Source organism: Homo sapiens, chromosome 5 (assembly GCF_000001405.40).
Source record: "Homo sapiens chromosome 5, GRCh38.p14 Primary Assembly".
NCBI classification, from domain to species: Eukaryota; Metazoa; Chordata; class Mammalia; order Primates; family Hominidae; genus Homo; species Homo sapiens.
The window spans coordinates 80,109,808-80,137,224 of NC_000005.10; the positions used below are offsets into that span (position 1 = coordinate 80,109,808).

At 44.0% G+C, this 27,417-nt stretch overlaps 1 protein-coding gene across 4 annotated transcripts in view; it reads right to left on the reverse strand.

Moving 5' to 3' along the window:
• Nucleotides 1–1,417: 1,417 nt before the first annotated feature.
• The window catches only part of SERINC5 (serine incorporator 5), a 144,824-nt gene continuing 118,824 nt past the window's right edge, over nt 1,418–27,417 (reverse strand). Inside the window, exons 12-14 of one of the 4 annotated variants that reach the window (NR_126060.2) lie at nt 4,707–4,844; nt 3,765–3,818; nt 1,418–1,895 (exon numbers count right to left, since the gene is read on the reverse strand). Coding sequence is in view for 2 of the 4 variants with exons in the window: in NM_178276.7 (NP_840060.1) it covers nt 3,794–3,827 (34 nt within the window). In the remaining 2 variants the exon portion in view is untranslated. Of the gene's footprint in view, nt 1,896–3,764; nt 3,828–4,706; nt 4,845–6,330; nt 6,517–27,417 lie in introns of all 4 variants that reach the window. The other 3 variants (NR_126061.2, NM_001174071.3, NM_178276.7) reach the window with 3 other exon arrangements.

Consider the following 27,417-nt stretch of genomic DNA (forward strand, 5'->3'; position numbering starts at 1 on the left):
GAGGGCTCTGAGCTTTCCCAGTAGGCTGGCAACCTCCCAGGCTCCCTCCCCCAGCCCCTATAAAACCATCTGGAAAATGAAAATAATACCTTCTGCTTCCTACCAAGCTCCAGGGACCCTGTGAGGAACAGGGAGATACTATCCCCATACCCCACACATTCCTGGAGGAGGTTGCCCTGGAATAAGCTATTGCCCCGCCTCTTTCACCCCAAGTGGCAGAAACGAGGGCCACTCAGTGCTCTGTCCAGCTGCTCTTGCTTCCCCTCAGGAGCCACTTCTGCTTCCATCCCACCTGATTGGAGTGGGCTTCCCACAGGCCCCCGCTCCGCAGCTCCTCAGTGCTCTCCTCCTCCTCCCTGCTCCCCCGAGCCCAGCCCAGTCTGAGGTCCATCCCCCTGTGAGGGGAGCTGAGCAGTGCTGCAAACTCAGTGCTCCTGAGTACCCTGGGGATTTGCTGAACTGCACATTCTCATTCTGTAAACCGGAGCTGAGCCTCTGCACGTCTAACCTGCTCCCTGGCAATGCTGCTGTTACTGAGCAGAGTGGAAAAGTGCTAGACAATACATTGGGGGGAAATTTCAGTCTCAAATGCATTGGAGCAGAAACCAGAACTCCCTGTCAAGCTGCTCTGTGGGTTTTTGAAGCGAAGTGTGTTGCTCTTCACTGGCTGCTCTGAGCTGCTCAGAGCGGGGGACAGAAGCTGGGTCTACCCGAGCATCTGTCCAGCCACATCCCCTCACTCTTCAGGGTGGCACTGGGCACACAGCCCCAGAGTCAAGGTGGCATTTAGCTGGGCCTTCAGTCCGGCACCAGCAAGTGCTCTTTAACTTGGGGTCCTTGGAGTCCATAGGTGGGCACAGCTCAATTTGGGGATGTACCTGAGAAAAATGCTTCCCAGATGGGCTTCTCTGCCCCATCCCTCTCTCCACCGGGCCTGGCCAGACCCCAGGGTGAATTGTTCTAATTCCTTGCACTTTTTCCTGGCAGGGTCTCCAGGCTCATGAAATCTGCCTCTTGCCAAAGGCAGAGGATCCACTGGCAGCAGGGAGCACTGGCTGCAGTCAGGCAGGTGCAATCATTTTTTAATGACATCTTTTCCCCCTTATCAAAATTGTGCAATTCACTTTAGAATATTTAGAAAATATTGGAAAATGTAAAGAAGGAAGTAATCCTGCAATCCTACAACTCAGAAATGATGTTTCAGCACTTTGGAAAATATCCTTCCAATCTTTCACATGCACAGGTGTGGTCTGTATACGGCACTGGAGATCCCCAGCACCAAAAAGTTAACACTGTAGGAAAACTATTTATCCATGTCAGTTATTCTTTGAAAGTATGATGTAGGGGAAAAAAAAGGGGGGATCAGACTGTTACTGTGTTGTAACCGAGCGAGTTATACAGAAACGCCACACTCTGAGACGAATTGAGGAGTCCTTTATTAGCCAGCGACCGAGAGACGGCTAGTGCTCAAAATTCTCTCGGCCCTGAAGAAGGGGCTAGATTTTGTTTTATACTTTGGTTTAGAGAGGGGAGGGGGAGCCTAGCTGTAGCAGTCTTACAGAAGTAAAACAGGCAAAAGAAGTTAAAAAGACAAATGGTTACAGGAAAGCAAACAGTTCCAGGTGCAGGGGCTTTAAATCCATCACAAGGTGATAGACGCTGGGCTTTGGGTGCTATCAACCAGACAAAAACACAGGGGCTTAGGGTAATATCAACTGGACAAATTCCTGGGAACTGCGGACATAGCTTGCCACAGCATGTTATCAGTTAATTGCATTCTTTGATGTGCTGGGAGTCAGCTTGCACAAGTTAATTCCTTGAGGAAGGGGGTGGGTAAGGAGCCCTTGATGTCTTGCAAATGAAGGAGCCAAATGGAGTCCGTTCAGGTTTCTCAGCTAAGAGAGAGTCAATCAGGTTAATACAAGTTAGGGTATCACAAGTGTGTCTATTTAGAAAAGGAAGACTTAAGAAACTCCATTTTGATCTGTACCCTGAACAATGGTTTTGCCTTGAGATGCTGTTAATCTGTAACTTTTCTCCAGCCTTGTGCTCACAGAAACATGTGTTGTATGGAATTAAGGTTTAAGGGATCTAGGGCTGTGCAGGATGTGCCTTGTTAACAATATGTTTACAGGCAGTATGCTTGGTAAAAGTCATCGCCATTCTCCATTCTCGATTAACCAGGGGCACGATGCACTGCGGAAAGCCGCAGGGACCTCTGCCCAGGAAAACCGGGTATTGTCCAAAGTTCCTCCCCACTGAGACAGCCTGAGATATGTCCTCATGGGATGGGAAAGACCTGACCGTCCCCCAGCCCGACACCCGTGAAGGGTCTGTGCTGAGGAGAATTAGTAAAAGAGGAAGGCCTCTGTCTCATACCGAACGGAATGTCTCGGTATAAAACCCGATTGTAGAAAACCACACTGGCAGGAGGCGAGATATGCTGGCGGCAATTATTCTTTATTCTGTTATTCTTTACTACACTGAGATGTTTGGGTGGAGAGAAGCATAAATCTGGCCTACGTGCACATCCAGGCATAGTACCTTCCCTTGAACTTATTTGTGACACACATTCCTTTGCTCACGTTTTCTTGCTGACCTTCTCCCCACTATCACCCTGTTCTCCTGCCGCTTCCTCTTGCTGAGATAGTGAAAATAGTAATCAATAAATACTGAGGGAACTCAGAGACCGGTGCTGGTGCAGGTCCTCCGTATGCTGAGCGCCAGTCTGCTGGGCCCACTGTTCTTTCTCTATACTTTGTCTCTGTGTCTTACTTCTTTTCTCAGTCTCTCGTCCCACCTGACGAGAAATACCCACAGGTGTGGAGGGGCAAACCACCCCTTCATGTGATGTTTAGGCCGGGTGCAATAGCCCGCGCCTGTAATCCCAGCACTTTGGGAGGCCGAGGTAGGAGGTTCACTTGAACCCAGGAGTTCAAGACCAGCCTGGGCAACATAATGAGACCTCATTTCTAAAAAATAAATAAATAAATAAAAATTGTTTTAATTAGCTGGGCATGGTGGTGCACACCTGTAGTCACAGGTGCTCGAGAGGCTGAGGTGGGAGAATCAGTTCAGCCCAGGAGTTCAAGGCTGCAGTGAGCTGTGATCGCACCACTGCACTCCAGCCTGGACAATAAAGTGAGACCGTGTCTCAAAAATAGTATGATTTTTTTAATAGCTGCATAATAGTCTCCCCTATGGATATTTTTATTGTTTACTTAATGCTTGCCCTATTTGGGGCCATTGAAGTTGTTTAATTCTTTTTCCAATATAAATAATTTTATTCTGGCCATGTTTTTATTGAAATCTCTAACCCTATAATCTCTTTTTTTCCTTAGAATAGGTTTCCAGGATTGGGATATTGGAACAAAAGGTTAAATATTCTTAAAGTTCCTGATAGATGTTGTTGAATTGTTTCCAGAAAGCTTCAACAAATTCATCCCCTCTAGCCATAGTGCCTGTTTCAAGAAATGATCAGCATTGTCCATTATCTTCTTTTATTTTTTCCCAATTTGGTAGGTAAAACTAGTATCATTTCTAGTCTGCATTCTGCTTGACTCTCGTGTGGCTGAACATTTTTTTCTGAGTGGCATAGCCATTCATGTTTCTTCTGTGACGGGTCTGGACACATCCTCAGTGCTCTCATTTTCAGGAGAGCAAGGATGGGGAACGAGGGGATATGCATTGTATTAGTTTGTTTTCATGCTGCTGATAAAGACATACCAGAGACTGGGAAGAAAAAGAGGTTTAATTGGACTTACAGTTCCACATGGCTGGGGAGGCCTCAGAATCATGGCAGGAGGTGAAAGGCACTTCTTACATGGCAGCAGCAAGAGAAAAAGAGGGAGAAGCAAAAGCAGAAAACCCTGATAAACCCATCAGCTCTCATGAGACTTATTCACTATCACAAGAATAGCACGAGAAAGACCGGCCCCCATGATTCAATTACCTCACCCTGGCCCCCTCCCACAACATGTGGGAATTCTGGGAGATACAATTCAAGTTGAGATTTGGGTGGGGACACAGCCAAACTATATCATGCATCACCACCTGATGGCACCCACCCATAACCTCTGCCATGCTGTGTGCCCCCCCACCCATGCCTGTGGGCGAGGCTCCCCAGGCCTGGTGCCTTTGCTGCCAGACTCTGGGTACTTCCATTCACACTCCCATCTCTGGGTGTCCTCAAGATAACCCGATGTTCCCAGGATCCTTCCCTCAATTAACAATGACCTGCCCTAGCCCCATTTCTTCAGCACCGTCTCCATGCTAAGTTACAAGGAGTGGGCCCAAACAAACAACTGAAAGCTAAACGTCTTCACCTAACCAAAATGTTGGCCGTCTGTATTAGTCTGTTTTCATACTGCTATAAAGACTACCTGAGACTGGGTAATTTATAAAGAAAGGAGGTTTAATTGACTCACAGTTCTGCATGGCTGGGGAGGCCTCAGGAAACTTACAATCATGGCAGAAGGTGAAGGGGAAGCAAGGCACATCTTACAAGGCAGCAGAAGAGAAAGAGCATGTAGAAGAAACTGCCACTCTTAAATCATCAGATCACGGCTGGGTGCAGTGGCTCACACCTATAATCCCAGCACTTTGGGAGGTTGAGGCAGGCAGATCACTTGAGGTCAGGAGTTCGAGACCAGCCTGGCCAACATGGTAAAACCCCATCACCACTAAAAATACAAAAATTAGCTCACCATGGTGGCACATGCCTGTAACCCCAGCTACTTGGGAGGCTGAGGCAAGAGAATCGCTTGACATCTGGGAGGTGGAGGTTGCAGTGAGCCAAGATCATGCCACTGTACTCCAGCCTGGGCAACAGAGTGGGACTCCATCTCAAAAAAAAAAAAAAAAAAGGTCAGATCTTGTGAGAACTCCCTCACCATCACAAGAACAGCATTGGGGAAACCGCCTTCATGATCCAATCACTCCCACCAGGTCCCTCCCACAACATGGGGGGATTACAATTTGAGATGAGATTTGGGTGGGGACACAGGGCCAAACCATATCACCACCCACAAAAGCTTTTTGACAAATAACTCTGACTAGGAATTGTAAGAAATGTTTTTAAATGAGTAAGGTGGAAGCAAACATTATTCCCATTTTATAGACAAGAAATGTGTGTCTCTGGATCTGTGACACTCCATAAACCAGGGAAAAGGCAGAGACAATGACTGATTTTCTGCCGCCCAATCCAGTTGCCCAACCCTCCTGGCTCAATGCCAGGACTTCCCTGTCTTTGATTAGGGAAAGTGGAGCCACCCACTCCCTACATGCAACTGTTACACACCCAGTGTCCCAGAAATGACATTCAACTTCACTATAGCGACTGCTTTTACTGACATCATTTTTAGCAGACGTTTTACTATAAAAATGGGTGGGGAGAAATAAAGCAGATAAACTGCTGCCAAGGACCATCACTGCTAGGGTGAAACTGGGGGCACACGGTATAGCTCAAATGCACCCCAGGTCCAGCCCAAGCCTTGCTCAAAACCCACCCAGGAACCAGACCTATCATCCAAGGTTGTCTCTCCAATGACCTTAGCAGGTTCAGAATAACCCTCTAATATTCCTCATTTACTGTAGTTGCTTATTATGAACCCACCAACTATTAATTCAATCTTTTTTGAATTCTCAGTTTTCAGTATATTTCTCTTCAGGCTGTGGTACATATCACAACATATAGTAATTATTTGCTATTTTCTGCTTCCCTGTCTAGACTTTGAGTAAGTTGAGGGTAGAATTTGTTCTATTTCATAATCTTAGAATTTGACAAATAGCAGGTATTCTTAACCATAATTTTGTTGAAGGAAGGAATCAATGAATAAAAATTTCCTGAGTTTACTGTTTACTGCAAAAAGACTGTATGCTGTTTTACGTTTTCTTCTTTTAAGGTCTAACATCAATATGTTGATGTTTGGTAAATATAATTTCAATCCCAGTTGCATCTCTGAGTCCAGGCAAGAGTACTACAAAAAGTATAAATAGAGGTCAAGTGCAGTTGCCCTCTGCAAGCAAGACCACTTAGAACTCTTCAATGGCTCTTTGACAAACCTTCAGTGGGATTTCTGTCAAAGCTGACAATGGATAAAATTATAGAAAGGAGGGAAAGCCTTGATAAGGAGTCCTTAATGAGTTCGTCACTAAGTTAATTCAACATTGAAAGGGATAGAAGATGTTAATTCCACACACACGTGAAAGAAATCAACAATCAGGCCTCATCTGAGAGAACCATGATGGGGAAGGCTGGGGCTGATGGATGAGGGGTGTGAGGCAGGGCAGAAAGCCTCCACGTTGCTGCAGCAATGCAAAAATAGGCACCTTGCCGTAGGCCTCTCTGGCACTCCATCTTGTCTCTCTTCCCTGGAGAAAAGGCAAGCTGTATTCAATCATCTTTTCAATGCTAAAACCAGGCTTTCCTGTCGGAGTTGGGGCCAGAGATGTTTCCATCCCCTCTTGCAAAAAGGGTATTCTTAAGAGGCCTTAAGTCTTCAGCATTGATAGTTTCTGGGAACAAAATAGAAATCAAAATCTCACCTTGTGTTCCCTTCCTCTTCCTGGACAGAGAATGGGACAGGCCCAGGCCATCCAGATCACTATGAACCTTATCAGAAACTTCAGTCCATTTTCTCCGTTCCCTTCCCTGGGACTTGCATGCTATAATCTCCATACCCCTCCTTCCCCACTCTCCAGGCTTAGTGGGTGAGGCAGAGAGTGAGAGCCAGGCTTACCTGCCTTTTCTCCTCAGTGGGAAGAAGCTCAGTAACTGAGCTCAGACGCTAGTGGCATACCTACCAAGAGGATGACATAAATGCCTCCTGTGGCCCTGAGATAGGCAGAGCTCTGCTGGCAGCCCAACCATATGTTCACTCGTTCATTAACAAACATCCACAGAGGCAGGCTGCTCTGGCCTGGAGGGGGATGTCCTACACTAGACGACTCAGGTTCATAGAGCCAGGCCTCATTCCACCCCCACTGGCTCAAGTGACTTTCTGGTGACCAGAAACTGGAGAGCTCTTTTTTTTTTTTTTAGACGGGGTCTTGCTCTCTCGCCCAGGCTGGAGTATACTGACACAATCTCGGCTCACTGCAACCTCTGACTCCCAGGTTCAACTGATTCTCCTGCCTCAGCCTCCCAAGTAGCTGGGATTACAGGCGAGTGCCACCAGGCCCATCTAATTTTTTGTGTTTTTTAGTAGAGACGGGGTTTCGCCATGTTGGCCAGGCTGGTCTCAAACTCCCGATCTCAGGCGATCCGCCCGCCTCAGCCTCCCAAAGTGCTGGGATTACAGGTGTGAGCCACCATGCCTGGCCCAGAGCTCTTAACTACAATGACTATATGCAGAAGAACAAACTAACACGGAAGATGGCTAGGAACTGCGTAAGCCAAGACTCTGCAGTAAGACACACTTGAGTTCTGGTCCTCACTCTGCCGTTTACTCACAGTCCAACTGCAGATGGGACCTCACCTCTCTGAGCCTCAGTTTCCTCATTTGTAAAATAGGCAAATATTGGCACCTACCTCATAGAATTAGTGCGAGGCTTAACTGAGGTGATCTAGGCAAAGCACTTAGCTTGGTACCTAGCACATATTAAGTGCTCAATAATAGGTGATGGTGATGATGTAAGTTGGACACAAGAGAAAAGGACACATACTAACTGATAATCACACAGAGCCACTGACTGGATTTGGTATCTTTCTCTGACATTCAGCTTTTCTTACCATCTGTCAGCATGCCACACTCCTTCAGCCTTGAATTATATGCTGCCTTGTGGTTTTGCTCTTATAAAACAAATAGAATGTACTAGTCTTCCTGTGGCTACTGAAAAAAAAAAAAAAAAAGACCACAAACCAGTGATTTACAACACAGAAAGTTACTCTCTCACAGTTCTGAAGACCAGAAGTCTGAAAGTACTATGTTGTCAGGGCTGTGCTCCCTCCAAAGGATCTAGGGGGTGATCTATTACTTACTTCTTCCAGCTTTGGGTGGCTGTCAGCATGCCTTGGCTTGTAGCTGCACCACTCCAATTTCTACCTAGTCTTCTTATCATCTCATCTGTGTCTGTTTTCTCCTCAGTGTGTCTCTTATAAAAACACTTGTCATGCCAGACATGGTGGCTCATGCCTGTAATCCCAGCATGTTGGGAGGCCGAGGTGGGCAGATCACTTGAGGTCAGGGGTTTGAGACCAGCCTGGTCAACATGGTGAAACCCCATCTCTACTAAAAATACAAAAATTAGCCAGGCGTGGTGGCGGGCTCCTGTAATTGCAGCTACTCAGGAGGTGGAGGCAAGAGAATTGCTTGAAACTGGGAGGCGGAGGTTGCAATGAACTGAGATCACACCATTGCACTCCAGCCTGGGTGACAGAGCAAGACTCCACCTCAAAAAAAAAATAATAATAATAACTTGGCTAATCCAGGGTGATCTCCTCAAATCAAGATCCCTAATTTCATTACGTCTGCAAAGTTAACATTTACAGTTCTGGAAATTAGGATGTAGACGTCTTTTTGGGAACCATCTATCTTAGACTGTTCAGGCAACTATAACAAAATACCAGATGCTGGGTAGCTTACAAACAACAAACATTTATTTCTCACAGTTCTGGAGGCTTGGAAGTCCAAGATCAAGGCACTGGAAGCTGTAGTGTCTGGTGAGGTCTTTTAACTATGTCCTCATTGCGGAAGGGGCCAGGGATCTCTCTTCCTTTTATAAGGCTTCTAGTCTCTTTTTTTTCTTTCTTTCTTTTGAGACAGGGTCTCACTCTGTCCCCCAGGATGGAGTACAGTGGCACAATTTTGGCTAGCTGAAACCTCTGCCTCCCAGGCTCAAGTGATCCTCCCACCTCAGCCTCCTGAGTAGCTGGGACTACAGGCGCATGCCACCATGTCCAGCTAATTTTTTTTTTTTTTTTTTTTTGTAGAGATGGGGTTTTGCCATGTTGACAAGGCTGCCAGGCTGGTCTCGCACTCCTGGCCTCAAGCAATCCACCCACCTCGGCCTCCCAAAGTGTTGGCATTATAGGTATGAGCCACTGCACCCAGCTTCATTCATGAAGGTTCTATCTTCATGAACTAATCATCTCCCAAATACCATCACCCTGGGGGCTGGGATTTCAGCATATAAATTTTGGGGAGATATAAATATTCAGTCCATTACACCAACATTTGGTCCACTACTTGGAGTACCTAAGAACATGGACTTTAGAAGTAGACTGACCTGGATTCCAATACCAGCCCCACCATCACTCACTAGTTGGATGACCTTGATTCAGTTATTTAATATCTTTGAACCTCAGCTTCTGGAAAAGGGCCAATAATGCCAATAATGCTATGTCCCGGGGTTGTTTGAAAGAATTAAATAAGCTAATATGTTAAAAGTACTGGATAATTGGTAGCTCTCATTACTAGTGGTAGGTTTACCCCACTAGTCTACAAGCTCTTAAGAGCTGGAGTTATCTCTGCTTCCTTCACAAGTCTAGCACAAGTCTGCAAACAGTCTATCCTTAGTGAAGGTGGGGTGACAAACTGGCTGAACCAGTGGCCTAGACAGCCAATATCACCAATTATGTAAGATTCCACAGGGATCTAAAGGAGCGAATTAGAGGCACCCAATAGTGACCCCAATCTAAGCAGTGCAGGGATCAGCTGGGTGGGTTTGTCAGCAGAGAACAGGGCCACCAGGGCAGGCACATAGAACTAACTGCACTCACTGCACTGTTGTTAACTATTCTTTGAATCCCTCCACATGACGCCATTCCTACAGATGGAAGGTCAGCTACACTGGAGAAGTTCCAGAAATTCATAAATAGATTATGATCCCAAATCCCAGAGAGGAGGACTTTTCCAGATGGCAACTGGGAATTTACCTTAATGATTTCCCCATCCCAGAAGGGAAAGCTGTTCTGGTATATTACAAACATTACAGCACATCTGAATAACCCAGAGAGCTTGTTTAAATGCACATTTTTGGGCCTCTACCAGGCTGGTTAAACAAAGCTTCAACAGAGTGGGGATAGGAACCAACCATTTTAAATAACCCCCTTTGGTAATTCTGGTTCAACCATAGCAATCAAATTATAGTCCAACCTAGGTAGGGGCTTGCTACCTAGGAGTCAATATGTAATACTGGAAAGAGTAAGAGTTTGGAAACTAAACAGAAATAGGGTCCAATCCTGGGTCGTCCACATAATAGCTGTGGGACCTTGGGCAAGTTACTTCATTTTTTTGGATCTCAACTTCCTCTTCTATAAAGGGGGGGCTATACCTGTCAGGGTAGTGGTGTTAATTCAATGATAATTATGTAAAGTGCCTGCTCATAGTAGATTGAAGCAGAGACTGCTACTATTCACCAATCCATTTCTTCTTCTTGTTCATACACAACTAGACTATATTTCCCAGCACCCTTTGCAGCCAGGCACGGCCACACTAGTTCTCACCAAGGGGATATGGTTCTAAGTTATAGTACCTATTCTTGGCAAAGGCTTAAGGAACAGATATGCCTCCTCCAGGTTTTCTTTTGTCTTACATCACTTGGATGCAGGTGACAGGTTCTAGGGAACTGGGGATCTACAACATGGAAGGAGCCTGTATGCCTGAGTTACTAGGTAGGGGAAAGCTATCCATCAACTAGAATGCCTGCCTTGGACTCTTCTGCAAACGAGAAATAAGCTCATATACCATATTAGGTTATAATATAGTTGCTTTAAAGAAATACCCATGGCCAGGCGTGGGGGCTTACACCTCCCAGCACTTTGGGAGGCTGAGGCAGGAGGATCACTTGAGGCCAGGAGTTTGAGACCAGCCTGGCCAACATGGTGAAACCCCATCTCTACTGAAAATACAAAAAATTAGCCAGGTGTGGGGGCAGGCGCCTGTAATCCCAGCTATTCGGGTGGCTGAGGCACAAGAATCGCTTGAACCCAGGAGGCAGAGGTTGCGTGAGCCGAGTTTCAGGCTGCACTCCAGCCTGGGGGACAGAGTGAGACTCTGTCTCAAAAAAAGAAAAGAAATACCTGCATTGCTATAAAGAAATACCTGAGACTTTAATTTATAAAGAAAGGAGTTTTGGAGGCTTTTTCTTTTTTTTGAGACAGAATTTCGCTCTTGTTGTCCAGGCTGGAGTGCAATGGCGCGATCTTGACTCACTGCAACCTCCGCCTCCCAGGTTCCAGTGATTCTCCTGCCTCAGCCTCCTGAGTAGCTGGGACTATAGGCATGTGCCACCACACCTGGCTAATTTTATATTTTTAGTAGAGATGGGGTTTCTCCATGTTGGTCAGGCTGGTCCCGAACTCCCAACCTCAGGTGATCCGCCCACTTTGGCCTCCCAAAGTACTGGGATTACAGGCATGAGCCAACGCACCCAGCCAAGAAAGGAGTTTGTTTGTTTGTCTGTTTTTCCAAGAAAGGAGTTTTAACTGGCTCATGATTCTACAGGCTGCACAAGCAAGGTGCTGGCATCTGCTCAGTTTCTGGGGTGGCCTAAGGGAGCTTTTACTTAAAGCCAGAGCAAGCATCTCACATGGCAGAGTAGAATCAAGAGTGAGAGTTGGTGTGGTGGTGAGGAATCTCAGGATGACCTCCCTGAGATTGCTGTCCCCTAGTTATTCACAAAAACTCACTGACTATCACAAGGTCAGCATCAAGGCGTGAGGCATCCACCCCCATGACCCAAACGCCAGGCCCCACCTCCAACACTGAGGATTACATCTCGACATGAGATTTGGAGGGGCCATCTAAACTATATCATACACTTTTGGGATCTATTTTACAACTAACCTATAGTCAGTGTGTTAATCCATTTTGCATTGCTATTAAGAAATACCTGAGACTGGGTAATTTATTTTAAAAAGAGGTTTATTTTGCCTTATGGTTCTGCAGGCTGTACAACCATGGCACCAGCATCTGCTTCTGGTGAGGACTCAAGAAACTACCAATCATGGCAGAAGCAGGTGTGTCACATGGCGACAGAGAGAGAAAGAGAGGGGGAGGAGATGCCAGGCTCTTTTAAACAACTAGCTCTCATGTGAACTTAATAGAGTGAGAACCCACTCATTACCTCGGGGAGGGCACAAAACCATTCATGAGGGATCTGCCCCCACGACCCAGACACCTCCCACCAGGTCCCATCTTCAACCCTGGGAATCACATTTCAACCTGAGATTTGGAGGGGACACACATCCAAACCATATCAGTCAGGAAATGTTCACCCCCTTTCTCCACCTCCAAATAACAATTACACAGTACCCAGCATCTGTGCAAACATTTTATTCTATTCACAATTCTCATATGGTGTAAATTGCAATCTCTCTGTAGTAGGACAAATTCTAGGGATGACCTCTGTATTAGTCAGGCTTCTCTAGAGGGACAGAACTAATAGTATATATATATATATAATATGAGTTTATTAAATATTAGCTCACACGATCACAACGTCCCACAATAGGCCATCTGCAGGCCGATCTGATGTCCAATGTTTGAGGGCAGGAAGCATCCAGCACGGGAGAAAGATGTAGAGTGGGAGGCTAGACCCATCTTTCTTTTCACATTTTTCTGCCTGCTTATATTCTAGCAGTGCTGGCAGCTGATTAGACTGTGCCCACCCAGATTAAGAGTGGGTCTGCCTTTCCCAGCCCACTGACTCAAATGTTAATCCCTTTTGGCAATACCCTCACAGACACACCCAAGATCAATCCTTTCAATCCAATCAAGTTGACACTCAGTATTAACCATCATAACCTCCCTGAGAAACACAAATCTAGGTACTCCTGTGAAGGGATTCTGCAAATGTAATTAAAGTTTCAAGTCAGTCAACCTTAAAATACAGAGATGATCTGGGTGATCCTGATCTAATCACAAGAGCCCTTTACACAACAGAAGGGGAATTCGGAGAGATTTGAAGTATGAGGAAGACTCAAGTGCCATTGCTGCTTGAAGATGGCAGCACCACGTGAGAAGGAATACCTCAAGGAACTGAAAGTGGCCCTTGCCTAACAGTCAGCAAGGAAAGAGGAACCTCAGACCTACAGCTGTAAGGAACTGGATTCAGCCAATAATTGGAATGAACTTGGAAGCAGATTTTTCTCAGTGCCTCCAGGTAAAAGCTCTGCAACCAATACCTTGATTTCCAGCCCTGTGCTATTCCTGAGCATAGAAATCAGGCAAGCCTGCCTGGACTTCTGACTACAGAACTGTCCACTAATAAATTTATGTTGTTAAATTTGTGGTGATTTGTCACAGCAGCAATAAAAAAACTAATACATTCTCTTAATCTGTTTTGTCATCAATTTTTCTTTGAGACGGAGTCTCACTCTCTTTCCCAGCCTGGAGTGCAGTGGTGTGATCATAGCCCATTGTAACCTCAAAATCGTGGGCTCAAGCAGTTCTCCCACCTCAATCTCTCGAGTAGCTAGGACTACAGGCACATGCCACCATACTTGGCTGATTTTTTTAAAAAAATTATTTTTTATGTAGAGATGGGGTCTCACTATGTTGCCCAGGCTGGTCTCAAACTCCTGGCTTGAAGAGATCCTTCTATCTCAGCTGGGAGGATCCCAGGATCCCAAAGCGCTGGGATTACAGGCGTGAGCCTCCATGCCTAGCTTCCTCACTTATTTTTTATTAATAAAAAGTGACATGGGGAGATGGTGGAAGTTAGAGTGATGATATCTGAGTATGCTCTTAGCTTTACATTTGCTCAGTTCCTTGTGCTGAGTTGTCTGTTAGGGAGCTTCCTGCCCTTATAGTGAGAATGTGACATAGTCTGGGCATCAGCTGCAGCTCTTTGAACAGAGATGATCCAGCTCCCCATCTCACCAGCCCCCAAATCCAAAACTTAAAAGCGGAGCTGCTGTCAAGGAAAACAAAGTTAAGCAAAATGACTTCAAAGCCCAATGTGCTCACCTTCACTCTCCCAGTGGGTCCTTGCACCTGAGAACGTGCAGGGTCCATCAGTATTGACCTCCCCTTTCCACCAGCCCTGGAAGTTATGGAAGGGGAAGGTAGCTTATTCTGATATCGTGTCCTGTAATAATGCTTCCTGGCCTGGCACATATATCCTTGTTTCTGTGCCTCTTGTTCTAAAACATCCTCCCTTTCCGAAAGCTGAAACTGTTCCTGCACACATTATGCACTTAACCAGGTAAATTTCAGAAGATTTTAAAAAGTTTCCCAGTGAAGGAAGGAGAGAGAGGTATTGTCCTGAGATACTGAATATGCGGATGGCCAGACTAGATATCAAAATAGAACCCTGACCCACAATCTGTGGCAACTAGCCTGGGAAGCCAACATATTATCTGCAGTAACCAATCCAGGAAGCAAAGCAATAACCCCCTTAGCAATGGACCCCAAATGGCCAGGACTCGATTAATAAACTGACAGCTCCCATAATTTTTGCCCCTACCTCCAACTTTGGACTAACCAGAGAAAGCCAAATGGGCACCCCCAACCAATCACATAGCATGCCGCACTTCTAGCTGGCCCACTTGCAGCTTCCCCGTGCCAACAGTCTCAGGGCACGCCCAAAGTGTTCCCTTTTTTCTACCACAAGGCTTTTCCACACCTCTGCCTGCCTTTAAGTGTCTGCCAAACACAAGTGATGGTGGCTGACTACCTTGCAACCTCTCTATAGTAGGCTTTGTTTGTTCTTATTTGGGTGGTCTTCATTTATTTCCACAGTCCTTGTTTTTCAGGGAGATTTAGGGCTTAAATACAAGGAAATTTCATGTAAGGATGCAGGAGTGTTTCATGGAACCTCAAGCTCAGGAAAGCTGCACAGCCATGGGAAGACCCTAGAGCCGGAGTCTGGAAAAGCAATCCGAGCTTGGATCTTAGAAATCTTGTCTTCTTGCAAACCGGGTTCTCTGGTCCAAATGGCCAAAAACATGACCATGGACAGGGCCTGTGCTTATCTCGTCACCTGCAGAGAGGCAACTCTCTGTACGTCCTGATTCCAAGTTCCTGGAGAAGGACACAGACTGAACCACCTTGGGTCAGGCACCATCCTTGACCAATTTACTAACAGTGCCCAACTCCCACCCAGGGTGGGGAGTAGTTGCAGGTAGTCTTGTTTATGAACATGGCAATCAGAAGCCCATCCCTGTCACTGTGTGGAGGGGAGGGGAGAGAAGAGGGATGGTTCCAACCAAAAAAGGTAGGGGGATGGACATCCCAATAGGGGTCCACTCCATTCCTGATGGCACAGTGAGACAGTTGTCATGTGTCACGTGCTAGACTCTTGACTCTGTGCCTCCCAGTACCTGCTACTGACCAACATGGTCTAGTGAGCGATTTTTCTTGTGAAGGCATCCATCCATTCATTCATTCATATAGCAAACAATTGTACATCACAACCTTATGCTAGGTGCTAGGTATACAATGATAAAACAAACACAAAAACCAAAACCACAATCTCTACCCTCAATGTGAGGAGATACCACCACATAAACGAACAATTACAATACTGTGAAACATGTTATGCTCAATCTATGGCCTAAATCAGATGAGAGGCTGGGCAGAGGATCAGGCTGCCAAGAAATGCTTCCTAGAGGGCATGCTGCCCGAAATGAACCTTGAAAATCAGGGAGCTTGATAGAAATAGGGAAAGAGAGAGTGTTTCAGGCAGAAGCAAGGTTCACTGTCAAGGAAAGGCATTTCAGGAAACCAAAAGTAGTATCTGTTTGACATGAGCTATATTGGAGTGAGAGTACTGGGAGGTAGGCTAGAAAGGGGAACAGAGACTAGATATGAAGGAACTTGAAAGCCGTAAGTATATGAAGAAGGCAATGGGCTTTCTACACAGGAATGACCTTGAAGACTTGATTTGCATTATTGAAAGCTCACCATGGCTGGAATGGATTGGGGACGTCCGATGATGGGAAGACTCAGCTGGGCAGTTGCTGCATTAACTGTGGAGTTATAATGGTGACCTACGAGAGCAGCTTTGGATACGGAGAAGAGCAAACTGGTTTAAGAAACGTCATCACCTGGGTCAAGAAAAGGACATGCAGTGGGTTGGGTAGGGAGGAAAATAGATGTAAATAAAGTTATTAGTTGAAAAAGAAAAGCAAGATCGAGAGAGAAATTAATTCTATTGCCATCTATTCATGAGAATCACAAGGCTGAATCAAAAGCCTTCCTGCAAACCTAGACTCACGCTGGTTCAGTTCAGAGACTCTATCAGAAAGATGAGGAGCTCATGAGTCATCCATCAATGTGATCTTGTGATTTTTCTTGTGACCACAAGACAAAGGAAGAGAAGAGTACTTTGGAGTCATTATGATGAAAATTCAGTTGAATACACTGGAAAGTCAAAACGAGAGGAGAAGGAGGAACCGAAAATCTGATTCAGTCTTGACCACCAAGTAGAATTGGGACAGAAACAATTAAGTAGGCACAGATCCAATTTGGATTATAAAAAGCTGGTTCATCAGGAAGGCCACTATAAAACCAGAAGCAAACGAAGAGTCAATTAAGTACAAAAGTTTTTACTATGACTATGCAGTGAGGTCCAAACTGTACTAAATTTGAAGTTCCCTGCCAAAGAGAAATGTAAGCTTCCCTGGTGGTATAAGTCAGAATTTCATGACATCAGCCAGATAACCACAAAAGAATATATCTTTTAGTGCTAGATGCTTCTAAGCCTTTCTCCACCCAACTAACCAACATTCACTTACTGATTTACTTATTTCTTTAACAAACACACTCCATTTCATAGCCACATTCTTTCAAAGCTGACAGGTTGAGATATATCTAAAACACAAAATCTCCAACATACATTTTCTTCTTCAATGTTGTGAGATGTATTTTTCTAAAACACTGTTCTGCACATACTACCATTCCAATATTAAAAACAAGTTAGTTATCCACTGCCTTTTTTGTACAAATGAAATTCATAAATTTTAATTTGGTTACAAAAAAATTTTTCATCAAAATTTTTGCTTATTTGTTTATATAAAAATGGAGACAGGGTCTCACTATGTTGCCCAGGCTGGCCTCAAACTCCTAAGCTCAAGTGATCTTCCCACCTTGACCTCCCAAAGTGATAGGATTACAGGCATGCGATACCAAGCCTGGTATAATTTAAATTTTTAATTAAAAATTGTTAATTTGTCTACAAAATAAATATATACTCATCATCAAAAACTTTCAAAGAAGAAGATTAAAATCACCATAATTCCAACACCCAGACACAATCACAATCACTTCTGTAAGTTAGGATATACTGACAGCCTATGTGACAGGGAAAAAACTAAGTTGTAAGAATTTTTTAAAAACCTCCTATTCCCCATTACAGTAGATTTTATTACTCAAAATATTTGCTGCCCCACCCTGGGGAAGATAATACTTCCCCACTTCATTGCATCAGCCTTAGAGATGTGGTTTGAGGTGTCCCTTCTTGTGGGAGGATTACATATTCTCATCTCCTTGACCTCAAGAGTGGCCATGAGACTTGCTTTGACCAATGCAATGATAACAGAAGTGATGTGTGCCACTTCGAAGCAGAAGCTCTGATTCATCATATGGTTCTACTATGTTCGTTCTCTCTTCCATGAAACCAGCAATATCCCAAATACAGACTGCTGGTCCCAGGATGGAAAACTTAGAGCAAAGCTACCGGTAGCCCACAATGTGAGCAAGAACTGAACTTTAGTCATTGTAAGCCACTGAGGGTTTTGGAGTTGCTTGTTACCACAGCATAACTTAGCCGACACTGACTGATACCACCTACCTCCAAAATGTCATCTGAGTTTTCTTTATGTCTGAAGAGAGCCTTTATGCATTGAAATAAATACTCCCTTTAATTTCAACTTATATTTTATATATTTAAATTATATGTTTTAAAACTTAATTTTGAAGACTTTAAACTTGTGTTAATTTATAAATCAGTTTTGTTAATATTTTATTATCTACTTTTATTTGGTTTTGATGAATGCCCAACTGGCTTGTAAATTTGATAAGGTACTCCCAAATATTTATCAAACTTTCAGAATTAAGTTTTAGACATTTCAAACTACAATCTAATTTTAATTGATTTCTCAAGGAAAAAAACAACAAAGCAGACTCACATTTCTATAGGCAAAATCTTAATAAACACTGAAAACATACTGAACTTAAAAAGTTTAACCTTACAAATTTAATAAATTATAAATTTAAAGATTTAACAATTTAAACATTTGAACATTATTTCAAACTTAGTTATCAACATCTTATAAATTTTTACTAATATTTTGAGTCTAATGAATCAGTCTCTTTACTTACCTTAAAAAGCAGAAAAATATACACAAAATACTATAATGGTTACAAAACTTATTTCTAGATAAAATTTATGACTAGACATAACTTAGCTTGTCTTCCAAGGGTCTTTGAAAGTATGTTTGTTTTCTGGCAATAAGAAGATATTTCCAGACTCATCTTGATATTTCCTGCCGTAAAACATGCAATGAATTTTTCTCCAGGGAGCCCAGTGCCCTCAGGGTCTTCTGGCTGGAATGCAGATTAGATGGATTGGCAAAGCAGCTGCTGGGGCCACAAGGGGAAACCAGAAATCCACAGTAATCTTTGACCTGACGTCCTTGAGCTGCTGAACCAACATCCCAGGTTTTTAAGTCCCTGTGGTCCATTTGTCAAATGCAATTCCTTACTGATATAATGGTTATACAAATAAAGAAGCCCAGAGAAAGCACTGCATATGGAAAGGAAAGATTGACCTAAAGGGGAAGATCTTGTGGGGAGGGGAGGCAGTGAAGAAAAGAGGAGGCAGGAAAGGGAACTGGGGAGAGAGGGGAGATCTGGCAGTTTCTGTGAAAGCAAATTAGTAAGGATTTTAAGAAAAGTTTGCCTTTATTCCATTGCCATAATGGGGATTAGAACAGTAACATCCATAGGATCATTGTGAGAATTATGCCAAGCACACATTAAGTGTTCAATAAACATTGGCTATCATTATTATTTTATTATGCTGGGCCTCCAGAATGGATTAGAGTTGCAGACTGGAACATTATAAGGAAATCCAGGAAGTCCATTCATTCTTACTCTTTCCCTCCCTCTCCTCTCTTCCACAATTGCTCCTCTGCACAGCTGTTTTAATCCTATATCTTTCTGCAGATTGGCTTTCTTTCTATGTCTGTGATGCTTAAAACAGTCACTAACAACATCTTTCAAGTTTCCAAACTCCTTGGTTCAAGACAGCAGCCATTTCGAAGAAATTTCCAGAAAGACACTGATTGTCCAGCTTAGATGGAAAGTCCACTCTTGGATCAATTAACTGAAGCTATGACAGGAGAGTTGTATGGAAAACACATGGCTGCTCCTACTAGAAAACTTCCCAAAATATGAAGGAGGGAAAAGCAGGGAGGAGGTGCCGCTGTGAAGACGTAATGGTAGGTAAACATTTGGGTACATTTCCTTTGGGTCCATGTGCACACGAGTACGTTTATGCATGTGTGCATAACTTGGATAGCACTGTATATAGGTTTTGTTTGTTTGTTTGATTGTTTTAGAGACAGGGTCTCCCTCTGTCACTGAGGCTGGAGTGCAGTGATGCAATCATAGCTCACTGCAGCCTGGAACTCATCTGCTGCACTCAAGGGATCTTCCCACCTCAGCCTTAAGAGCAGCTGGGATTACAGGTGTGCATCACCATGCCTGGATAAGTTTTAAAACAATTTTTTTGTAGAGACAGGGTCTCATTATGTTGCTCAGGCTGGTCTTGAACTCCTGGCCTCACGTGATCCTCCCACCCCAGCCTCCCAAGTAGCTGGAATTATAGGCATGAGCCACTGTGCCTGGCAACAGCTGTCTAAATTATTTTTTACAAGGCATTCAGAACACATTCAATAAGATATTTTTCTACAGCACTGTATTTATTAGCTAGGTTAACATTTCCATATATAGATGTTCTAAGTGAATTTAAATTATTTCTATTATTTTGCTTTTATGAACTCTATTTGAGTGATATTCTTGTAACTGAATAGTTGAAACTATTATTAACTCCTTAGGGAAATTCCTTAAATTGGAATTGCGAGGTCAGAAGGTGTGTCATTTTTTAACAGTTTTGATACATTTTGCTAAATGTGCCAGGCAATTTAAGCCACACTCCCACCACAACATACAAAATGCAGTCTTCCTCAATATCGTCTTCAGTGCTTAGTTGAAAATTAATCACCATTTGATAAGTGAAACAAAATTTCCTTAATTACTAGTAAGATTGAAGGATAGTTTCATGTTTTTTTGACCAACTGTTTTTCTATTATATTCTTATTGGTTTATAAGAGCATTTTAGCCGGACTTGGTGGCTCATGCCTATAATCCCAGCACTTTGGGAGGCCAAGGTGGGTGGATCACTTGAGGTCAGGAGTTCAAGACCAGCCTGGCCAACATGATGAAACCCCAACTCTACTAAAAATACAAAAACTAGCCGGGCCTGGTGGCAGGCACCTGTAATCCCAGCTACTCGGGAGGCTGAGGCAGGAGAATCACTTGAACCCAGGAGGCAGAGGTTGCAGTGAGCCAAGATCGCGCCACTGCACTCCAACCTGGGCAACAAAGCGAGATTCCATCTCAAAAAAAAAAAAGAAGGCATTTTAATTACTAAATATATTGCTGGTTGTGGTGGCTTGTGTCTGTAGTCCCAGCTACTTGGTTGAGGCCAAGAGTTTGAGCCTGGGCAATACAACAGGGCCCTATCTGTAATTACATCTTCCCGGTTTGTCGTAACCTTGATATAATTTGTTTTAAGTTCAGATACTCAAATCTCTTCTTTCCAGCACCTATCTTTATCTTTCCATATGCCTAGAAGGATATCATCCACTATCTACCTAAGTATCACCCTTTCCTATGTCCCATTCCCTAAATAGAGTTTAGACATTTCAATTGGCATTTAAAAGTCCTTCACAAGGCACTACGATGTCTTGTTTTTCACTACTGCCATCCACAAATCTTTCTTTTATCCATCCATTTGTTCATTTATTCATTTGTCACCTATTTACTAAGCACCTATTATGTACCAGGCATCATTCTAGACACTGGGGATACAGGAGTGAACACATCCCTACCCCTAAGGGAGCTTGAATTTTAGTGCCACTGAAGACAAACTGAAAAGGTAAGAAAATGTATATAGTTGGCTGGATGGTGATAAGTACTATAGAAAACAATAAAGCAGTAAAGTAGGGTAGGAAATTCAGGGAGAGAGTGAAATCTTACATAGAATAGTCAGGGAGAACTTCACTGAAAATGTAATACATATTTGAGGAAGAGTGTGAGGATGGTGACTGATATGGTTTGGCTGTGTCCCTACCCAAATCTCATCTTGAACTGTAGCTCCCATAATTCCCATGTGTCATGGGGGGGACCTGGTGAGAGGTAACTGAATCATGGGACTGGGTCTTTCCCATGCTGTTCTCATAGTGGTAAATAAGTCTCACGAGATCTGATGGTTTTATAAATGGTAGACCCTACACACTCTCTTGCCTGCCACCATGTAAGACATGACTTTGCTCCTCATTCGCCTTCAGCTATGATTCTGAGGCCTCCCCAGCCATGTGGAGCTGTGAATCAATTAAACCTTTTTCATTTATAAATTACCCAGTCTTGGGTATGTCTTTATTAGCAGCGTGAGAACAGACTGATACAGTGACAGAATGGGCCAAGTGCTATCCAAGGGAGAAGCATTCCAGTATGGGAAAGAGTGTGTGCAGAGAGCCTGCGGGGGAGAGGGGGAAGGAGGAGCATACCTCCTGGATTTGAACACCAGCAAGGAAGCCAGTAATGCTGGAACAGAGTGGGCAAAGAGGGTAGTTGAGGCAGGGATAGGGAATGGGTCATGCAGGGTTTTGTAGACCACTGTAGAGTCTTTGGCTTTTACTTCAAAGGAAACGGGAAGCCATTTTGAGGGTGTGGTAAATTGTGTTTCCAAAGATGGCAGCAGAAATATCTCACACCTCACATAGTCTTTTGCAATGTGATCTTGTCACTGTCCTAAGAAGAGATGGGGTCTCTTTCCTTTTTCCTTGAATTTGGGCTGAGCCTAAACCAATCCTGACGAACAGAATCTAGTTCTGTAACTAGATTCTGTAATACTGTAAATTCCAGACTGGGCCTTAGGAACTGTTTTAGAAGCCTTCCTTTCACCGCTTGAAATGCTCCTTCTTGGAACCCAGAAGGCATATGGAGAAAGATACGTAGAAGAGAACCAAGGCCCAGCCATTTCGGCCTAGTTGAGCATTTCTGCCAGCCCCTAGCTTTCAAGCCAGCCAGTTGAAGCCGCGGACACCAGATAACAGAGATGAGCCATGTTCAACATGCTCTGCACAAATTTTTCACCCCCAAACCATGAGCAAATAATAGCAATTGTTGTTTTAAACCATTAAGTTTTAGTGTGATTTGTTACTGATGACAAAAGAGACAAATAGAGATGAACTAAATAGCACGGGCCACAGGGGAGTAGGCACGAGACCCCACAGTTACTTTCCTGAAATTCCTAGACCCCCTCCTGCTTCTGTAAGGAACTCCAGGTCTGGGTTAATCACAAACTGATGACTATTCCAAGAAGCACTGTACTCCTTAGCTAATCATCTGTTAGCTTATTTCTGTTAACTAATGGTATTTCTATATGAACATGCTGAGACCACCTTGTTGTATCTCCTCATGTTGTTCCTTAAAATCTGCTTGTAACCACCCCAACCTGGAGCACCTCCTGGACTTGGTATATAAGTGCTTCCCAGGTTGCAATCCTCAAATTTGGCCCAAATAAACTCTTTACCTATATGCATTTGCCTTAGTTCTTTTTTTTTTTATTTCCACCATGCCTGGCTAATTTTTAAATTTTTTGTAGAGTCAAGATCTCATTATGTTGCTCAGGCTGGTCTCAAACTCTGGGGATCAAGTGATCCTCCTACCTCGGCCTCCCAATGTGCTGGGATTACAGGTGTGAGCCACCGTGCCTGGCCCTTAGTTCTTTCTTTCAGATTGACATTACACAGCAATAGGGGACTGGAATAAAAATTGGCACCAGAACATGAAATACTACTGGAATGAAAACCTAAAGCCAATTGCTACATGTTTGGGACCAAGTAACACATAGAAGACTGAAGAGCAGTGAGAAGGCTGTTGGTGTCTTCACATGGTTTGATATTTGTCCCTCCCAAATCTCATGTTGAAATGTAATCCTCAGCGTTGGAGGTGGGGCCTGGTGGGAGGTGTCATGGTTGCAGATCCCTCATGGCTTGGTGCTGTCTTCGCAATAGTAAGTTCTCATGAGATCTGGTTGTGTGTGGCACCTCTCCCTACCTGCTCCTCTTCTTGCCATGTGACGTGCCTGCTCGCACTTCACCTTCCACAGTGAGTAAAAGCTCACTGAGGCCTCTCCAGAAGCCGAGCAGATGCCAGTACCAATGCTTATACTGCCTGCAGAACTATGAGCCAAATAAACCCCTTTTCTCTATAAATTACCCAGTCTTGGGTATTCCTTTAGAGCAATGCAAGAAAGGCCTAACACTAGCCTAAAACAGGGAGGAAAAACTTGCTCTTGCTCTTGTGGGCTAGAGAAAAGGGGGCCTGAGTTACATACTGGCAGCTCAATTACACTGTCACTTGTAGCAATGTGGAAGATGGTACATGTGTTCATGAACTGGCTAAGGACATTTTCATGCAGAGTGCTGAAAATGCCAAGTGGCTTGTAATAGTTGATAACGTACAGAAAGAGATAAACTAAAGAGGGAAATGTTCACCTTTCAAGCAAATTTTAGAAGAATATAGAGGGCCCAAGACTGTCTGAGTCAGTTAGCAGCGTGTTCTAAAATCAAAATAAAACTTGGAGGCAAAGAACAAATCTAAGATGCTGTAACCGCCCAACGAATTTTCCTTGCCCACTGCCTAGGCAGACTCAATTTAAGACAGGGGAATTACAATAAAGAGTTTAATCCACACACAGTCATCTGTACGGGAGACTGGAGTTGTATTATTACGCAAATCAGTCTCCCTAAAGACTTGGGATGGGGTTTTTAAGGATAATTTGGTGGGCAGGGGGTCAGAAAGTGGGGACTACTGATTGGTTAGGTCAGAGATGAAATCACAGGGAGTTGAAGCTGTCCTCTGGTGCTGAGTCAGTTCCTGGGTGGGGGCCACAAGACCAGATGAACCAATTTATCAATCTGGTTAGGGACAGCTGATCCATCGAGTGCAGGGTCTCCAAAATACCTGTTATCTGGAGGAGCAATTTGGAGGGGTTTAGAATCTTGCCACCTCCAGCTGCATGACTCCTAAACCACAATTTCTAATCTTGTAGCTAATTTGTTAGTCCTGCAAAGGCAGTTTATAGTTCCCAGGCTAAAAGGGTGTTTGTTCAGGGAAAGGGCTGGTACCATCTTTGTTTCAAAGTTAAACTATAGGCCGGGCGTGGTGGCTCACACCTGTAATCCCAGCACGTTGGAAGGCCGAGGCAGGCAGATCATTTGAGATCAGGAGTTCGAGACCAGCCTGGCCAACATGGTGAAACCCTGTCTCTACTAAAAATACAAAAATTAGTCTGGCGTGGTGGCGTGCACCTGTAGTCCCAGCTACTCAGGAGGCTGACGCAGGAGAATCGTTTGAACCCAGGAGGTGGAGATTGCAGTGAGCCAAGATGGGGCCACTGCACTCCAGCCTGGGTGATAGAGTGAGACTCTGTCTCAAAACAAAACAAAACAAAATAAACAACAACAACAAAAAACAAAGTTAAACTGTAAGTTAAGTTCCTTCCAAAATTAGTTCAGCCTACACCCAGGAATGAACAAGGACAGCTTGGAGGTTAGGAACAAATCAGTAAGTTAGGTCACATCTCTTTCATTGTCATAATCCTCTCAGTTATAATTTATGCAAAGGTGGTTTCGATGCCACAAGTAAAACGTGGCCTCTGGTCAACATGAGGCCCTTTGTTAAAATCCCAGAAAGATGTAAGGAATTGCTTCTCAAACCCTCATGGTTAGTTAGACAAACAGGCTTCTGAAAGAACAAGTGTGTTCTCACACAGCACCCTGACATGCACCCCAGAGAGGGAGCGTATCTTAAAAAGATTGGTGGAGATGGTTTTTATCTAACACAGTGAATCCCAGTAAAATCCACAGAAAACTCACAATGTTTTTAAGAGAACTGAACTAACACAAGCACCACTAGCTTGGACTAAAATGGACAAAGACTGTTCAAAACAAAGCCACTGGGCTCCTAACCATTTACTGGCAGGAAATAGGCTGAGGAAACTATTTGGCTGCAAATCAGGGTTTTTGTTGTTGAGATAGGGTCTCCTCCGTTGCCCAGGCTGGAGCACAATGGCACAATCACAACTCACTATAACCTCTGCCTCCCTGGAGTAGCTAGGACTATAGGCACATGCCACCAAGCCCGCCTAATTTTTGTATTTTTTGTAGAGACGGGGTTTCACCATATTGCCCAGGCTGGTCTTGAACTCCCAGCCTCAAGTGATCCTCCCGCGTCAGCCTCCCAAAATGTTGGGATTACAGGCATGAGCCACCACGCCAGGCCCAATCACGCTTTTTCAAATAGTAAAGGAAGGCCGACCCAGAAGGTGGAGTTAGGAAGTAAATCAGGTCCAGCTGTGTGTGGATAAGGCTCCACAGGGATGGCTCTGTGGGTGCAGGGACCCAAGAACTAAAAAGACAAGTTATCTGCCTCCCACATTCCTTGTACAATGTGAGGAGGAAAAAGATAACTACAATAGAGAATCCCTTTCAAAAAGTAAGGATGAGTGTATGAAATCTGAATAAGGTTTGCAGTGCAGTTTAAACAGTTCATAGTGTCCAGTGCTTCTGATAGGTCAAGTAAAGTAAGGACGATGGACGTGGCAACATGGAAGTCACCCATGACTTCGAAAAGCAGTTTTCAATTTAAGTGTGTGAAAGCTTTATTGTGGCGAGTTCAAGTGTGAATGGAAGAGATGGGGGCAATGATAGAAGCATAGTTTTTGGATCTTCCTGAATTGCTACATAAAAATAGCAACTAGATAGCACAATCAAAAATCAAAAGCTGGGAGAGCTGAAGACTATCAGTATCTATGTGGGAAGAAGCAGAGGGAAGAAAAAAAAAAAAGCAAATGATGAATTCAGAGTCAGAAAGTAGGATGACGGTTGCCACAGGAGAGGGGAAGTGGGGAACAGGGAGTTCCTTAATGAGTTGTTTTGCAAATTGAAGAGTTCTGGAGATTGGCTGCCAAATAATGTGAATGTTCTATGCACTTCCTACTACTGAACTGTACACCTAAAAATGGTTAAGTGCCCGGTGTGGTGGCTCACACCTGTAATCCCAGCACTTTGGGAGGCCAAGAGAGAAGGCTCACTTGAGAGCAGGAGTTGTAGGCCCAAGCCCTCGGGAGGCTGGGGTGGAACAATCACTTGAGCTCAGGAGTTGGAGGCTGCAGTGAGCTACGATCACACCACTACACTCCAGCCTAGGCAAGAGACCTCGTCTCAAAAAAACAAAAAAAAATGCTTTACTCTAATTCTCATATATCAGGACAGGGTGTCACCAGCATAAGGGCAGGAAAAAGGAAGTGCGGTCCACAGCTTTCAGAGGAAGAAGACAAGCTCGGGGTTTCATATTTATATTCTCAACAATTAGCACAACAATGGGAGAAGGAATGTCTTTTTAATAAATGGTGCTGGGAAAACTGGATAGCCACATGTTGAAGAACGGAATTAGACTTTTATTTCATACCATATTAAAAAATCAACTTACAATGAATTAAAGACTTAGCTGTTAAAACCCGAAACTAAAGCTAGGCAACAAAAATGTAGACAAGATTACATCAAACTGAAAAGCTTCTGCACAGCAAAGGAAACCACAAAGTTAGGAGACAACCTACAGCATCAGAGAAAATGCTCGCAAACAACATCTGATAAGGGGTTAATATTCAAGATATATAAGAAACTCAAAACTGCTCAATAGCAAGAAAACAACCCACTTAAAAAGTTGACAAAGCACCTGAATAGGTATTTCTCAAAAGACATACAAATGGCCAACAGATACATGAAAAAGTGCTCAAGTCAGGCTGGGTGCAGTGGCTCGCGCCTGTAATCCCAGCATTTTGGGAGGCCGAGGCAGGCAGATCACTTGAGGTCAGGAGTTCCAGACGAGCCTGGCCAACATGGCGAAACCATCTCTACCCCCAAAAATACAAAAATTAGCCAGGCATTGTGACATGCGCCTGTAACCCCAGCTACTCATGAGGCTGAGGTGGGAGAATCACCTGAACCTGGAGGCTGACAGAGGTTGCAGTGAGCTGACATCGTGCCACTGCACTCCAGCTGGGGTGGCAGACTGAGACCCTGTCTCAAAAAAAAAAAAAAAAAAAAAAAACAAAAAAAACACCTAAAAACCTGAAAGTAGAAATACCATATGATCCAGCAATCCCACTAAT